The sequence below is a fragment of the Homo sapiens genome, chromosome X (assembly GCF_000001405.40).
Source record: "Homo sapiens chromosome X, GRCh38.p14 Primary Assembly".
Taxonomy (NCBI): Eukaryota; Metazoa; Chordata; class Mammalia; order Primates; family Hominidae; genus Homo; species Homo sapiens.
In genome coordinates this window covers 107,165,036-107,183,211 of record NC_000023.11, presented here as the reverse complement: position 1 = coordinate 107,183,211, position 18,176 = coordinate 107,165,036, and the positions used below count along the sequence as shown (strand labels likewise).

The window sequence follows — 18,176 nt, the reverse complement described above, 5'->3', positions numbered from 1 at the left end:
TTAAGATTTTAATTAATTAGAGACATGGTCTCACTCTGTTGCCCAGGCTGGAGTACAGTGGCACAATCACAGCTTACTGCAGCCTCAAACTCCTGGGCTCAAGTGATTGTCCCGTCTCGGCCTCTGGAGTAGCTAGGACTGCAGGCACATGCCGCCATGCCTGGCTAATATTTTTCTTTTAAGACAGGGTCTTGCTATGTTGCCCAGGGTGGTCTTGAACTCCTGGCCTCAAATGATCCTCCCTCTTTGTCCTCCCAATGCACTGGGATTACAGGCATGAGCCACCACACCTAGCCTAAGATTTTAGTTATTATGTTGTCAAAACTTTCATTTTTTAGGGGTTCTCTCACAGCTTATTCATATAGGCCTTTCCATCTCAACATTCTTATTTTTTTGGTTATTTTGTGTTTTATATTTTTAAGAATCTTAATTTTTCCCCCTAAGAGATTAGTGAATTGAACCATTGTGTTTTGTTAAATAGACATCCTTTCTCTATTAATTGAAGTTGCTGCCTTCCTGATACACCAAATTATTGTTTGACTTGGCTTGACTCTGCTTCTAGGCTTTCTATTCTGTTCTGTTGATCTCTTTTTCTTGTTCTAGTACTACCATTTTTGTTACTGTAGCATGCCCCCCCTATCTTGTAGTGTAAGGTCACTACCTCTATTCTTTTAAAAAAAACTGCTATTTTCTATGTCCTACTATTTATTAAGATAGTTGGCATTTTCTTAAGTTCTTAAACGTAAAGGAATTAAGGCTGATTTTGGGATCCTTATAGCACTAGATGGAGGAAATTGTGATATTGAACCCTTCTTCTAGTTCAGTAGTTCTCAGCTGGAGACAGTTGGCCCCACCATGGGGGAATTTTGGCCAAATCTGGAGACATTTTTGGTTGTCAAGACTAGGGAGATGCTACTGGCATCAGAGCCCAGGGATGCTGCTGAACATCCTACAGTGCATAGTTCAGTCCCCCACAGCAAAGAATTATTTGGTAATGTCGAACAACTCTGATCTTGTCCTTTAATTAGGAAGCTAAGGTTTTTGTCTCTTAAATCCTTTTCTAAGATTCATTTAACTTAAAAGCAAATCATATTAAGTGGTATTTGCTCCCCTAGTTACCTTTAGGTATGTGATTTAAGGTCAGGCGCCTGAAATTATGCCAGTATCTGGGACAAATGATCAAGATTTTTAAATACGGGCATAAATCAAGTGTAAATTTAATTAGAGATAGTAAAGAGGTTTCAGTAATATGACCAGTTACAAAATAAATAATACAAAAATCAATAGCTTTCCCATGTTTAAGCAATAGCAGTTGGGAAATATAATGGAGAAAGGTCTAATTAACAATTTCAGCCAAAAGTATGAGATGCATAGGAGTAAACTTTTAAAAATATGCATGACTTAGATGAAGCAAACCACAACATTTTACTGATGAATGTAAAAGAGGATGTGAATAAATGAAAAGACCCACTGAATGCTCAGACCCTATAAGATAAAGATGTCATTTATCTTTGAATTAATCTATACATTTCATGCAATTCTCGTAAAACCATAATGGGAATCTTTGGGGGAAGGAAAGGAAGGAAGGACTTGACAAGATTTTAAAGTTTATATGGGGGAATAAATGCATGAGACAAGCCACCTCTATTTTTTTTTTTAGGAAAGTAATGAGAACTTGCAAGAAAATATGTGAAAATTATTATAAATTTATTCTTTTCCTGTAAATTTAAAATATTATGTAACATAAAAATAAAATAATTCTAGTGCTATGGAACAGGGATAGAAAGAAAAATCAGTGAAATATTTTGAAGTACAGTGCAGAAACAAACCTGTGCTTGTGAAGGTGACATTTCAAATTTGTGAGATAGAGAAAAGAGTAGTGAATAAATGAATTGCAGTAGCTGGCTAACCAGTTATTGTGGGTAAGGGGATGAATTTTGCCTAAAAAGATTAACTGAAAAAAATCCTTGGTTACTTAAGGTAGAAAGTAAAACCATAGCCAGGTGCATGGCTCATGCCTGTAATCCCAGCACTTTGGGAGGGCGAGGTGGGTGGATCACTTGAGGTCAGGAGTTCAAGACCAGCCTGGCCAACATGGTGAAACCTCGTCACTACAGAAAAAAAAAAAAAAGTTGGGCGTTGTGATGCATGCCTGTAGTCCCAGCTACTAGGGAGGCTGAGGCAGGAGAATCACTTGAACCCAGGAGGCGGAGGTTGCAGTAAGCCGAGATCGTGCCACTGCACCACTCCAACTGGGTGACAAAGCGAGACTCCACCTCAAAAAAAAAAAAAAAAAAAGCGAAACCATAAATTTTTTTAAAGCATAGGTGAATATGAAAATATGTAAATAATATTTCTGGAGTTGAGGAGATAAGCATTTCTATAGGAGTTTAAAATAACATAGTCAAATGATTCAAAAATAAAACTATAAATAGCATAAATAGGTATATTATTCCCCATCTGCATCTTTATTACCCCTGCCCCTTTCCCATACTCAGTTAACCACTGTAATTGCGTATGTCTTTCCAGAGCTTCTTCATGAGTTTGTTGAGAAATAAAAATACATATTAGTCCTCTGCCTTTTTTGATATAAATGGTATACTCTAGACACTATTCTGTACCTTGCTTTTTAACTTGTATTCTGTACCTTACTTAAAAACTTTATGTGCTTATTTTACACATTTGGAATGTTTTCACATTAGTCAGTACATAGAGAACTTCAGTATGTTTTTCCTCAGTATTTTTTATAGGATCGTAGTATTCCATGCTCTGGATGTGCTATAATTTATATATCCAGTCCCTTGCTGATGGCCATTTGGGTTGTTTACATAATCCTTTACTAATACAAACAGTGATGCAATGGATATCATTTTACATGTCATTTTACAGGTATTCAAGTATATTTTTGTGGCTAAATTTCCAGAAAAAGTATTGCGGGTTCAAAAGATAGATGCATTTGTAATTTTTAAAACATTGACCAGTTGTTTCCCATAGTTGTACCAATTTATCCCCCCATTTGGAATCTGTGAGGCTGCCTGCTTCTTTATAGTGTCCTTAACAGAGTGTGTTTAGTTTTTGACTTATTGTCATTCGTTAAATGAAATTATTCTCAATGTAGTTATAATTTGCAATTTTCTCTTAAAAATGAGGTTGAACACCTTTTCATATGTTTAAGAGAAAAGTCTTTTTAAACATGATATGAAGACATAGACTATTATATAGAGACATAGACAGAGAGAAAAAATGATGGAAAGATTTGACTACATAAAAATAAAATAAAAACTGAATGGCAAACTGGGGTAGAGGAATTATTGCAACATATGACAAAATAAATAGCCTTGATATACACTTTTATTAAAAATCAGTAATAGTGTTGGTAGGAGTATAAATTGTCTCAATTTCTATGGAAAACAATATGGAGATTTCTCAGAGAATTAAAAATAGAACCACCTTTTGACTTAGCAATTCCACGCTGGGTATCTATACAAAGGAAAAGAAACCAGTATATAAAAAAGACACTTGCACTTACATGTTTATTGCAGCACTGTTCACAATGGCAAAGTCATGAAATCAACCTCAATGTCCATAAGTGGTTGATTGGACTATGCAGCCATAAAAAGAATGAAATCATATCGTTTGTGATATCATGGATGGAGCCAGAGGCCTAAGTGAAGTAACTCAGAAACAGACAATCAAATATTGCATGTTCTCATGTATAAGTGGGAGCTAAACGGTAGGTACACATGGACATTAAAATGAAAATAATAAACACTAGGGACTCCAAAAGGAGAGAGTTGGGGGTAGGGGTAAAGGTTGAAAAATTACCTATTGGGTACTGTGTTCACTATTTGGGTGATGGGTACACTAGAAGCCCAACCCCCACTATTATGCAATATATCTATGTAACTTTAAAATAAAATTTAAAAATATCAGTAATAAGACAGTATTCTTTGATGTGAAAATGGGCAGATGACATGAATAGGCAATTTCAAATGAAAAAATTGAAGTAGCAATGAAACCCATATTAAAAATTCAACCTCTCAGATAGGTAATGAATTGTAAATATAAATGCCTTTGCTATACAATTGGTTATTTCTTTTCTTTTCTTTTTTTTTTTTGAGATGGAGTCTTGCTTTGTTGCCAGGCTGGAGTGCGGTGGTACGATCTCGGCTCAGTGCAACCTCCGCCTCCTGGTTTCAAGCGATTCTCCTGCCTCAGCCTTCTGAGTAGCTGGGACTGCAAGGGTGTACTACCACACCCAGCTCATTTTTTTTTTATTTTTAGTAGAGACGGGGTTTCACCATGTTGGCCAGGATGGTCTCTATCTCTTGACCTGTATCCTCCTGCCTCAGCCTCCCAAAGTACAATTGGTTATTTCTTTAAAAGTGTACATATGGTTCTTCTCCTAAATGAAACATAGGGATATTGCACTGTGTAAATTTTAAGTAGCTTTTGTATGTGGTAAAGTTTCCAATTCCTTCCCCACATCTCCTTTCTGTTTCTTTCACCCCCAGAGGACCTAGATGTTTTGGATAGCAGAATCTTACATCATTTGTCACCATGACAGTTGAATGCAGGCAATAATAGGTGCAAGTACAGTTACTTATTAAGCACCTTTTTCCTTTTAAAGGTGAAATAGAATATCTGTAATTATGTGTTAGAGTCTAGAAAAAGTTGGTTCAATTCAGCAGAAACATTTATTGAACAATTACTATTATGTGCCATGTGCATTGATCTGCAGTGAGGATGAAAAGATATGAACTTTGCTTTCAAGTAACTCTATCTTATTTGTGTCACTATGCATTAATTTATCCTTATAGTTTTCTTTTTAAAGAGGCAGGTAATCTGTTTTCTGAAAATTTATTCCAGACCTTCATTTATTCTTTACATACTGTACAGCCATTTAAAATGTACAGTTCAGTGGTTCACAGAGCTATGCAACCATTACAACAGGCCGTATTAGAATATTTTCATCATCCCCAAAAGAAACTCTCTACTCATTAGCAGTCATTGCCCATTCCTCCTTTTCCCCAGTCTTTGGCAACCACTAATCTACATTTTGTCTCTGTAATGGAATCATATATTTTTTATAAATGGAATAATATATTATTCAGTCTTTTGTGACTAGCTTCTTTCACTTAGCATGCTGTCAAAGCTCATTCATATGGTAGCGTGGTACTTTTCCTTTTATGGCAAGTACAATTTTATTGCTTGGATATGCTGTATTTTATTCATCCATTCATCAGTTAATAGGCATTTGGATTGTTTCTACCTTTTGTCTATTTTGAATAATACTGCTATGAATATTCACATATATGTTTTTGTGTGGATATATGTTTCATCTCTTTTTGGCATATATATGTATCCCTAAGAGTAAAATTGCTGGATCATACGGTAACACTATGTTAGCGCATTGAGGAAATGCCAGACAGTTTTCCAAAGAGGTACAGAATTTTACATTTCCAACAGGATCCTCATCAACACTTGATCTATCTTTTTGATTATAGCCATCCTAATGGGTATAATGTAGTATCTCATTGTGGCTTTGATTTGCAATTCCCTAATGACTGAGGATAGTGAGCATGTTTTCATGTGCTTTGTTGGCCATTTGTATCAGCAATTTTGTATCTTTCTGACCATTCTCTTGCAGTCACATCTGCCTCTGACCACATCCTGGAAAGGTTCTCTGCTTTAAGGGATTGGGGTCATTAAATTTTCTCACTTGGATAATTCAGGATAATCTCAAGGTTTTTAACCTTAATCCCATCTGTAAAATCCCTTTTATCAAGTAAGGCGATATGTTCACAAGTTCTGGGTATTAGGCCATCTTTGGGGACTGGTTTTCTGTCTATCACACCATCTTAACAATATTAAGTCTTTTGATCTATAAACATGAGATCCTTTAGAACATCTTTAATTTCTTCCAATGATGTTTCATATTTTTGTGTACATTATGTAATTTAAAAATTGTCCTTAAGTATTTCCTTTTGAGCAATCATAAATGGAATTATATTCTTAATTTCTTTCATTTTGTATTGTTCATTGTTATAATAGAGAAATGTAATTATTTTTATATATTAATCTTGTATCCTGCAACCTTACAAAACTTGTTTATTGTTCTAGTAGATTTTTTTTATTTCTTAGAATTTTCTGTATTCGTGATCATGTCATCTATGAATAGAGAGTTTTACTTCTTTCTTTTCAATCCACATGTGTTTTATTTCTTTTTCCTGCCTATTGTCCTGGCTAGAATTTTCAATGTATTGTTGAATCGAAGTGGCTAGAGCAGACATCCTTGTTTTGTTTCTGATGGTAGTGGGAAAGTATTTAGTCTTTCTCCATTAAGTGTGATGTTACTGTAGATTATTCATTAGTGCCCTTTATCCTGTTTAGGAAGCTCCCTTCTCTTCCTAATTTGTTGAGTGTTTCTGCCATGAAAGGGTATTGGATTTTATCAAATGCTTTTACTGCTTCTATTGAGATGATAATGTGTTTTTTTTAATAATAGCATAATTGAGGTATAATTCACATATCTTAAAATTCACTGTTTTAAGTATACAATCCAGTGGTTTTTAATATAGTCACAGAGTGTACAACTATCACCACTATGTAATTTGAGAACATTTTCATCGCCCCCCCGACAAAAAAAAAAACCCTATACCCATTGGCAGTCACTCCCCATTACCCATTCCTCCCAGCCCCTGGGAATCATTAATATACTTTCTGTCCATGAATTTGTCTATTCTGGACATTTCATATAAATAGAATTTCACAATATGAAGCTTTTTGTTTTGTTTTTTTGGTCTGGCTTCTTACATTTAGCATAATGTTTTCAAGATTCATCCATGTTGTAGCGTACATCAGTACTTAATTCTTCCGATTTCAGGACGGACCTTTTCAGCTTTCTTTTTCCCTGGTTATCTCTGATAAACTATCCGACTTACACCCTAAATTGTTATTCTCATAAAGCTCCCTGCCTCCTCTTAATTGTTTACCTCCCAAATCTCCATTTTTTATAGTAATGTTTTGGGCTTGAATGTCCTCACACTCTGTTTCAAATAAAGTCAGTTATTTGGGGAATGGCTTGGGAGCTCTCTGTTCTTATGAATGGCCTTTATCCCTGGGCAGAATCGTTCAGCCAGTGCTTTGGGTACTGAGCAGTAGCAGTAGCCACTGGTCTTCTTGCTTACCTCTTCAGGTGTGGACCTTAACCCTGCAAGTAAACTGGGGTGGAATAATCAGGGTGAGGGTGATTGGGGCCTCAGTATTCTCAGCCTTCTCTACTTGGGGTAGAGTCTCCACCCTGTGAGTAAAGGAAGGGAGCCCCTGAACTCTTGGCTATACTGAACAGGAATTTCACCCCTTCAACTCTGTGTTGGAAGTGATAAGAAATGCTGGCTACCTTTCCCTCCCATTGGGATACTCTATTCCTTGATTGGGAGCTGGGGTCAGAGGGAGTAAAGTTTTGGCTACCCCTCCCTAGAGAGTAGCTTCCATCAAGGTAGACAAGGGGACGGTGAAAGGAAAGGAGTGCCTTGTGGCTCATATGCCATTGACTGTCACTGTTACATTACTGAGTTTTAGTAGATTTTCTTGAATAAATGTTTCTTCATTTGCTCTGGGGTCTTAAAACAATTTCCAGCCATTTCCGATTTAAAGAAAAAAAAGTAACTTTTTGCTGGAACTTTTTGCTGGTTATGGATTTACTTGGGAACAGGTCCATGGGACTTTTTATGCTGCAGTTCTGGAAGTGGATCCCCCCTCTTAGGACTTCTTTTTCAGTAAAGTAGAATTTCTTTGTTATGATGGTGCTAGAAGACTGACTATACTAAAGTAGTACCAATGAACTGTTTTTTAAATCAAGCTTTTACTCTGTCTTATTGATTAGGTTTCAGGATACCTGCTTTTCCTTGCTTTGTTTTTATTTCTCCATATTAATGAACCTTGTCATAATGTTGTTTTACTTTTAAAAATTATTTTTAGTGACATATTTTTCTGTTTGTTACTTTGATTTTTAGGTTTGGCTCCAGCAGCTGCTGTTGCCACCACCACTAGTTCAAGCACCATGCAGTTTACCTCAATATCAAATTCTTTGACCTCCACTGCTGCTATTGGGCTCTCATGTAAGTTACTAATTCTAAAGAAAATACTGTTATTTCCCATGATGCCACCTTACTCAGTTTGCCAGTATATGCTACAGATCTCTGTCTCAGAAATTATCATTATTCTTGAACCCATTTATAATTGCTGATATCAATAGTAGCTTTGCTTAAGAACCTAATTCTCATGGCTTTAGCTGTGAATTTTTTATATTAACATGGTTATTATAGCTTAAAATGCTAACTTTAAGCATATAATTCATTAATATTGTGATGCATTGAAACAACTCCTTGAAGCTATTAACAGAAGGGAGAGTGGGAGTTTTGCCAAGTATTTCTGAAGGGAAGAAGTCCTTATCCATGTGACTAAGATAAAATGGGAAATAAATGTAGGAGCCTTGCTATAGTGTGTTTTCTGATACCGACCTGGTTTGTGGTCCTTACATTTTACCTATCAGAAGTGGAACATGACAAAGGGCCAGCTGTAGTTTTGGGGTTCTAATTGACATTGTGTAATGTCTTGTGACCTCTCCACCTGAAGAGGACCATCTATCTGGATGCTTTGAGCTAAGAGGTGAGACATTATCTCGTAACCCCAACTTCTTTGTTACACATTTTCCATTAGTATAGTAATAGCAAATGTTGACAATATTGAATTCAGGCCAGGCTCAGTGGCTTATGCCTGTAATCCTAGCATTTTGGGAGGCCATGGCAGGTGGATTGCTTGAGCCCAGGAGTTTGAGAACAGCCTGGGCAATGTGGTGAAACCCTGTCTCTACAAAAAAATACAAAAATTTGCCGGACATAGTGGTGCATGCCTGTAGTCCCAGCTACTGGGGAGGCTTAGGTGGGAGGATTGCTTGAGCCCAGGAGGTCAAGGCTGCAGTGAGCCAAGATTGCACCACTGCACTCCAGCCTGGGTGACGGAGTAACACCCTGTCAAACCAAAAAAAAAAAAAAGGAAAGGAAGAAAGAAAGAGAGAGAGGGGGAGAGAGAGGGAGGGAGGGAGAGAGAGAGAAAGGGAGGGAGGGAGAGAGAGAGAGGGAGGGAGGGAGGGAGAGAGAGAGAGAGAGAAAGAAAGAAAAAAAAGAAAAGAAAATACTGAATTTTGTATGTCTTAGGCAATTTTTTCTTACAGGCCTCTATAAACTGACTTCTTTCAAGGTTTCTTCTTCACAATATCATAATGTTCATCATTAAATTTTGTTGTAATCCTAGCTGTAATAGCCCCCCTCCCCAGCTCTATGACAGTAAGATTGTCTCCATTCCTGGGAATACAACTAGCCAGAAAATGTTTGATGCTTAATTGAGCATGAATAGTGCTCAATTAACCATCACCATCCTCTTGTGTTATTGGCATAGTTAGGCATTAGTTAAGATTGGTTACCACATGAATTATGTTTTCTACCACTTAGACTTCAATTTTGAGACATGACTATGATTCTGGAATCATTTTGATATATGTAAGCAGTATCCTTCTCAACTGTGATAGATTTCATGAATATGACCATGTCCAAGGTTTGGAGTTAAAATTATTGAATTAATTCCATGTTCAGTCAAAACTTGCTCTCTGACCTTTGACAGGTTCCCCCACTTTTCTCCCTCTGATGTCCTTGTCTACAAAATGAAAAGATATTGGGACCACAATATCTTTTAATTAACTTTAATGAATTATAACTTACACATCATAAAATTAACTCACTTTAAGTATGCAATCCAGAAATTTTAGTAAGTTTATCGAATTGTGTAACCATCACTGTATTTAGTTTTAGAGCATTTCCATCATTGCAGTAAGATCCCTCAGCCACAGACAACCACTAATCTGTTTTCCATCTCCATATATTTGCCTTTTCTGGACATTTCATGTAAATGGTTTGACCATGGTTTTTTGAAGTTTAACCAAAAGTTTCTAAAGGACTCTTCAGATGAAAAAGACTATATAAATTTCTCACTGTTTTTGATTTAAAGGGTAATAGTTAATATTATGTTGTTCTCTGCAGTTGGTGCTCCAACAACTTCGGCTAGAACACTTGATATTATAACCTTGGGATTTGCATTAAAATTCCCTGGAGCAGGTGGAGCAGCTCCTACTGCAGTTAGTAAGATTTTAGAATTATCAGGATGTCTTGGGGGTCTCATTGGAAATGTGCTTCATAACAAGCAGTAAGTAGGTTCTATGGCTTTTAGGGCTAAGTGGTTTTGACCATCTCATCAGAGTATCCAAAAGGTACACCAATATGTTTATGTAGATGATTGCCAAAGAGTACAATGAGACAGTTGATATCAATGATGCTACTTCTTTGAGATGACTACAGGCAAAACAGCTGCCAAATTCTTGCCAACCATCAAACTTAAGAATTTTCGTTATTGATCACAGTATTTAGCTGGTTGAGACTGATAAAGTTTTTTTTTTCTCTAAAAGTTAATTTAAGTTTTGACCTCTATTGAAGTTGGCCCTCTTCTAAAGTTGGTTATAGGAGTTTCCCTAGACCTATTCTAAATTTGTTTCTGCCAGTTAGGAGCTAGTTAGGCTGTAGATGGAAGAAAACTTGGTTATCCATTGCCCGTAGCTATTAGAGCTGGGTGGTAAGGGGTCATCTACTCAAACCTGTCTTTTAAGTTAGACTCCATTTTGGAGAAGTCTTGTTTGTTTTTACTGTAAGAAGTTTACTTAGGGATTAAATGAATCTGTTTTAATCTGGCTTAAACTAAAAGTCAATCCCGTTTAAGCTTAAAATAATTATTCCTAAACAGACATGTATATCATCCCTCCCTTTTTTTTTAAGATACAGTCTTACTTTGTCACCCAGGTTAGAGTGCAGTGGCGTGATTATAGCTGACTGCAGCCTAATCTCCTGGATTCAAGTGATCCTCCCACCTCAGCCTTCTGAGTACCTGGGACTGCAGGCATGCACCACCATGACCAACTGATTTTTTTTTTTTTTTTTTTAGTAGAGATGAGGTCTCACTACATTGTCCAGGCTGGTCTCAAACTCCTGGGCTCAAGCTATCCTCCCACCTTGGCCTCCCAAAGTGCTCAGCTTGTAGGCTTGAGGCACCACACCTGGCCTCATCTTTTTATTTCTTCTTTTACATGACCTTATGAGTTTCTACTGTTTAGTAGACTAACTGGCCAATGTATGAGACTTGTGAAGGGTGTGTCATAAGAACATTACAAGTTACCATATTTGCAAAAAATGTAACACATTTCCCCATAAAACAATGACCAAAAAAAAACCCTGATTCTTTTAGTCATGGGTTGAATCACTGAAATATGAATGGGCAGCCTCTTTGATGATGCTGTCATACCCAGCCCTTATCTATATAAGTCTCAAATTCCTTCCTACAAATACTACTTTTGCCACTAGCCCATCCCTTAGCACCATGATATGGTTTGGCTATGTCCTCACCCAAATCTCATCTTGAATTGTACCTCCCATAATTCCCATGTGTTGTGGGAGAGACCTGGTGAGAGGTAACTGAATCATGGGGACAGGTCTTTCTCATATTGTTCTTGTGATAGTGAATAAGTCTCACAAGATATGATGGTTTTATAAAAGGGAGTTCCCTTACACAAGCTCTCTTGCCTGTCACCATGTAAGATGTGACTTTGCTCCTCATTCACTTTTTGTCATGATTTTGAGGCCTCCCCAGCCATGTGAAACTGTGAGTCAATTAAACCTCTTTCCTTTATAAACTATCCAGCCTCAGGTATGTCTTTATTAGCAGCATGAGAACAGACTAATACACACCATTTCACCCACCAGGACCTTAAGCACTTACCCTTCTCCCCATTAGGTATGTCTCAACCTGACAGCCCCAATTTGGGGTGTTTTCTTCCCCCTACTTACCTTTCTTTCTCTTCAAGTGTATTTACTTATTCAGATTCTTCATCTCACTAACCAGTCTTGCAGAGCAGCTTTCAAGCATCTGTATCTGTAGATTTACAGCCATTTGGGATTACTGTCTGCCCTAGATATAATCAGCAAATTTTAAGAGAAATTTGATTTTTATAGTTTGGGAAGGTGATGATGTCCATTTCCAGCATGGATTGAGATGTATAGTTGTTGATCAGGGACAGGATAGGAAAATTTGATAGTAGAATATTTTAAAGGCTATTTTCATTATTTTTTAAATGTGAGTTCAAATTTAGTGTGTAGTTTTTTGTATTATTTTTAGAACCATACTTCCCTTTTACTACACAGATATTGTAGGATTGACTGTATTAACTGGTTAAGACCAAAGTTGTAATTTGCAAAATCAGACTGTGATAGAACTTTCAAACCCATTCCTTTATTTGGTATTAATTGAAATATTATTTGAATATGCCAGAGTTAATTTATGCCTTTAAAAATAGCATGAAAGATAACAAAAATAAAACTGTACAAAAAGTTAAAATAGGCCGGGTGTGGCGGCTCATGCCTGTAATCCTAGCACTTTGGGAGGCCGAGGCAGGTGGATCACGAGGTCAGGAGATCAAGACCATCCTGGCTAACACAGTGAAACCCCGTCTGTACTAAAAATACAAAAAATTAGCCAGGCGTGGTGGCACATGCCTGTAGTCCCAGCTACTCGGGAGGCTGAGGCAGGAGAATCACTTGAACCCAGGTGGTGGAGGTTGCAGTGAGCCAAGATTGTGCCACTGCACTCTAGCCTGGGTGACAGAGCGAGACTCCATCTCAAAAAAAAAAAAAAAAAGTTAAAATAATCATACCATTTTAAAATGACTCAGGATTCCTTTATGTTTGGGCTGCTTATAGGTAAAAACAATTCGTACATGCATATATACATATCACTCCCTCTAGAGAGAACAGTTTATCTTTTTAGACATTTTTCTAAGCATATACATACATTAAATTTGTTTTATAAAAATGGTACCATACTCTGTGTGTGTGTGTGTGTACACATTCTTAGAATTTGCTGTTTCCTCTTAAGTACACATCTTTTTTTTTTTTCTTTTTCTTTTATTTTTTTTGAGACAGAATCTCGCTCTGTCGCTCACTTAGCCTCCTGGGTAGCTGGGATTACAGGTGTGCACCACATCTGGCTGATTTTTGTATTTTTAGTAGAGATGGGGTTTCACCATGTTGGCCAGGCTCGTCTCAAACTCCTGACCTCCAGTGATATACCTGCCTCGGCCTCCCAAAGTGCTGGGATTACAGGTGTGAGCCACCATGCCTAGCCAATTATATATCTTTGAATATCTATCCATGTTAGGAAGTACAGATTACTTTATTAGAAAACCATCTTTGGGTGAAGATATTCTCCTTTACAAGAAGGGCTCATTTTTTTAAAAAAAAAATTTCTTTCTGTCTTGAATGCAGTAGTTACTCAGTGTTTGGTTGAATTAATCAATAAAGGGAGTCTATTGGCATTATCATTAATTTTTAGCATTTGTGAGGAAGGTTTTCCTTTCAGGTAAGATTTTTGTTCTCAGATGAATAAAATGATGACTTATGGTTGTAAAGAATATCACACAAGATCCAATCTGTAATCTCTCCACTGTTCTAACCATAGTGACTCCTGGGCTTCTTTGTGATTGGGCATGGTCTTCCTCTGTGGTGCACATTTTACCCTCACAAGGGCTAACATAAAGAATGGGGAATTATCATAAGAACCTTTGTGGCCAAAAAGGAAATGGAGTCTTGTGGAATTCAAGTAAAGTCATTGCCACGACACTGTTACCTTAAGGAAATTGGAACTTAAGATTATTCTTAAGGCAGCTTTAGGGACCTCCCAAATCAAACATTGCATATACATAATTCGGTTATTCTCCCTTTGTCTACTTTTTTCTTTTTTTAAATTTCTCATTGGTTTCCTTACCTCTTTCTCTGCCTTCCTGCTGTACCTTATTCTTAATTGTGACTTGCTCATGGTCCCTTACTTCTACTTCATCTCCTTCTTCTGTCAGTCCTATCAAGTCTTTTTGCCTATAGTTGGATTCCTTCTATACTTTTGGAAATATTTCCCAGTATCTGCCTAGAGTCAGATTTTTCCGTATTGCTAAATTTTTGAAAATGAAATTCTGACTCATATTAATCCTGTTTCACTAGAGCTTTTTGTGCCAGACCCTCAGGTAGGCTGCTAGTAGTACATTGGATGGCTTCCCATCCTTCAGTTGGCCATCCTGCCCAGTCAACTTTGAACCAGGAACAAAAAGGACAGAGTTATCTGGAACAAAGAATGGGTATTTGAGCTTGTTCCCTCAGCAGGAATGTTCCCTCAGGCCAGCCTCCCTCAGAGTAGTCAGTGCTTGCAGCAGGCACCATGGTTTATGCATTTATCCAGTGTGGCCATTAACCTGAAACTATTGCTAATTGGGAAAGCAAAGCTAACATAAAACAAACAATCATGTACGTTATATTTTCATAACATATTTCTTGTTACAGAAGCAGCATTTACTAGTTGTAAGAACATTTGAAAATGCAGAGAACCAAAAAGAAGAAAATAAAACCTTCCCAATGCCCTAGCAGCCACAATTTTCTGTGCCTTGTTCATTAAGTGCTCAGTGTGTAGTAAGAACCAAAAGTGCTGCAGAAATTTAGAAAACCAAAGGAAACTATGAGTAGGAGAGAAGTGGGTGATAAATATGGGGAACAAAGAATTTGAGTCAAGCCATGAAGTATACTTAGGATTTTATCTATAGAGAGCAGGACATTCTAATAGGGGTGTAACAGAAAAAGACATATAGGAGAGAGTCTGGGCTGTAGATAAAGCTTTGAGAGGCTTTTGACTAGGGTTTGCAAAAATGCATGCCTAGTATTGGCTGTGGTATAAAGAAATAGGCACTCTTTCCTATTGATAGGGACATAAATTGGCAAAATTGTTTAGATAGGGCAATTTGGCAAGTTATGTTAAAATTTAGAGCATGCTGACACTTTGATCTAGAAATTTTATTTCTAGGAATTAATTACACAGATACAGTCATGTAAATATGCAAAGATATAGATGTACAGAGATCTTTTGTAAATTGCAATTATTCTTTTCTTGAAAGTTTCATAAAACTTACCAGCAGTGGCATCTGGGACTGGAGTTTCCTTTATGAGAAGAATTTTGAGGATTGATTTGATTTCTTTCATGGTTATTGGGCTGGTTAGAAGTTTTATTTTTCTATGAATTTATCCAGGATTTTCAGCTGGAAAGTTAATCCAGGTACCTGGCCTGCCATTTATTATTTCATATTACAACAGTGTTGAATTCAAATCTGCATCTTTGAGTTCAAATTTGTATTTTTAAAAATGCCTCCATAATTTTAAATCTGAATGATCAAGGCTTAAATGAAACAAATTTCTCATTTCTTACTAACATTATACACTTTATTTTCCAGTTACAACTTCAACGACTACCACCGCCACTTTCACCACCAACACTACTACCACAATCACCAGTGGCTTTACTGTGAACCAAAACCAACTGTTATCAAGAGGGTTTGAAAACCTTGTACCTTATACTTCAACTGTTAGGTAAGCCTATTTATTTAAAAACTTGCATGTGTTTCATTTTATTTATCATGTACAAGACATTTGCTTGGATAACTTTAGAATAATATTTGAAAGTTAGCTAAATGACTGAGTTGAGGGAACAGTCAAGAGAAAGATTTCTGTAGCTTAGGAAGTTGAATAAACAGCAGCACACCTTTACCTTCTGAATATCATTATAATAGAATCATTACTATTACTAATAATAGCTACCACTTATTGTGCAATTACTGTGTATGTAATCTGTGTATGTTTAGCAAGATGACAATGCATTACAAGCATCATGTCATTTATCCTCACAGTAACCCTATGAGGTAGGCAGTATTTTCATTTTCATTTTATAGGTGAGAAAACAAGAGCATATAGAGATTTTATAATCTGCTCATAGTCGCATACTTGTTAATGGTTGAGCCAGGATTAAAATTCAGACAGTCAAGCTCTGGAGCCTGTATATGATGTTTCTCTCTAGTATTTGTTCATTTTTTAAATTAAGCTTTTTATTTTGGGATAATTGTAGAGTCACATGTATATGTAAGAAATAATACACAACATTCTGTATGGTCTTTATATCATTTCCTCCAATGATAACATCTCAACAGTACTACAGTATAATATCACAACCAAGATATTGATATTGCTACAGTCAAAATACAGAACAGTTTTATCACTACAAGGATTCCTCCTGTTACCCTTGTATAGCCACACCCACTCCCCTCCTTTCCTTGACCCTGAGCAACAATTAATGTTCTCTATTTCTATAATCTTGACATTTCAAGAGTGTTGTACAGATAGAGTCATATATATGTGACCTTTGGGGATTGGATTTTTTTATTCAGCATAATTCCTTGTGATCCACCCAAGTTGTCGTGTGCATCAACAGTTTGTTCTTTTTTATTTCTGAGTAGTATTCCATGGTATTGTGGATGCACCATGGTTTGTTTAACCATTCACCTGTTGATGGACATATAGGTTGTTTCCAGTTTTTTGGATATTATGAAAAAAGCTGGTGTGAACATTGATGTACATGTTTATTATGAATATAAGTATTTCTGTGGGATAAATGCCTAGGAGTGCAGTTGTCGGGTGGTATGGTGGTTACATGTTTTTTGTTTGTTTTGTTTTTTAAGAAACTGTCAAATTCTTTTCCAGAGTACTGTGCCATTTTACATGCCCACTAGCAATGTATGGGTGATCCAGATTGTCTGCATTCTTGCCAGGATTTGGTGTTGTCACTACTTTTTATTTGAGCCCTTCTGACAGATGTGAAGTGATATCTCATTATGGTTTTAATTTGCATTTCCCTGATGACTAATGATGTTGAACGTCTTTTCACATGTTTATTTGCCATCAGTAGATCCTCTTTGGTGAAATGTCTGTTCATATCTTTTGTCCATTTTCTACTTGGATTATTTGATTTTTTTACTGTTTGGTTTTCAGAGTTTGTTATGTACTCTAGATGCCAGTCTTTTGTCAGATATGTGGCTCATAAGTATATTCTTTAACTGTGTAACTTGGCTTTTCATCCTCTTAACAGGGTCCTTTTGCTGTATCAAAACCTTTAATTAATGAGTTACAGTTTATCACATTTTCTTTTAATGAATTGTGCTTTTAGTGTCAATTATAAGAAATCTTTTCTTAGCCCTAGATCCCAAAGATTTTCTTTTTCTTCTGTGTTTTTCTAAAAGTTTTATAGTTTCACATTTTACATTTGAGCTTGTGATCCAACTGGAGTCAATTTTTATATAAGGTGTGAGGTTTAGGTCAAGATTAATTTTTTTTTGTCTGTGGATGTCGAGTTTTTCCAACATCATTTATTGAAAGACTATCTTCCCCCCTGAATTGCTTTTGCACCTTTGTCAAAAATCAATTTGTGTCAAATGCTTTTTCAGCCTCAATTGATAGTCTTAAGATTTTGTTTCTTTATCTTGGTGAAGTGGTAGATTACACTGATTGATTTTCAGATGTTCAACCAGCCCTGCATATGTGGAATAAATCCCACTTGATCATGGTGTATAATTTTTTGGTACATTTTTAAAAATTTGGTTTCCTGGTATTTTGTTTGAGGACTTTTGTATCTAAGTTCATGAGAGATATTAGTCTGTAGTTTTCGTCTTTTTTTATGTCTCTAGTTTTGATATCAGGGTAACATTGGCTCTATAAAATGATCTGGAAAGTATTCTGTTTTCTGTTTTCTAAAAGAAATAGTGTAAAATTAATGTTAATTCATAAAATGTTGGCAGAATTCTCTAGCGAAAACTTCTCGGCCTGTATCTTTCTTTTAAAGGGGTATTTATTTATTAATTAATTTATTATTATTATTTTTTTTTTTGAGACAGAGTCTCACTGTGACGCCCAGGCTAGAGTGCAGTGTCAAGATCTTAGCTCACTGCATCCTCCACCTCCCAGGTTCAAGTGATTCTCCTGCCTCAGCCGAGGCCTCCTGAGTAGCTGGGATTACAAGCTCCCGCCACCACGTCCAGCTAATCTTTGTTTTTTGTTTTTTTGTTTTGTTTGTTTGTTTGTTTGTTTGTTTGAGACGGAGTCTCGCTCTGTCGCCCAGGCTGGAGTGCAGTGGCACGATCTCGGCTCACTGCAAGC

General features: G+C 36.5%; 1 protein-coding gene across 3 annotated transcripts in view; it reads left to right on the top strand.

The window, feature by feature from the left end:
- NUP62CL (nucleoporin 62 C-terminal like) overlaps positions 1-18,176 on the top strand; it is an 83,007-nt gene that overhangs the window by 23,222 nt on the left and 41,609 nt on the right. For all 3 annotated transcript variants that reach the window (NR_033676.2, NM_001433614.1, NM_017681.3), the window contains 2 exons: positions 8,019-8,123; positions 15,428-15,563. Coding sequence is in view for 2 of the 3 variants with exons in the window: in NM_001433614.1 (NP_001420543.1) it covers positions 8,066-8,123; positions 15,428-15,563 (194 nt within the window). In the remaining variant the exon portion in view is untranslated. The remainder of the gene's footprint in view (positions 1-8,018; positions 8,124-15,427; positions 15,564-18,176) is intronic.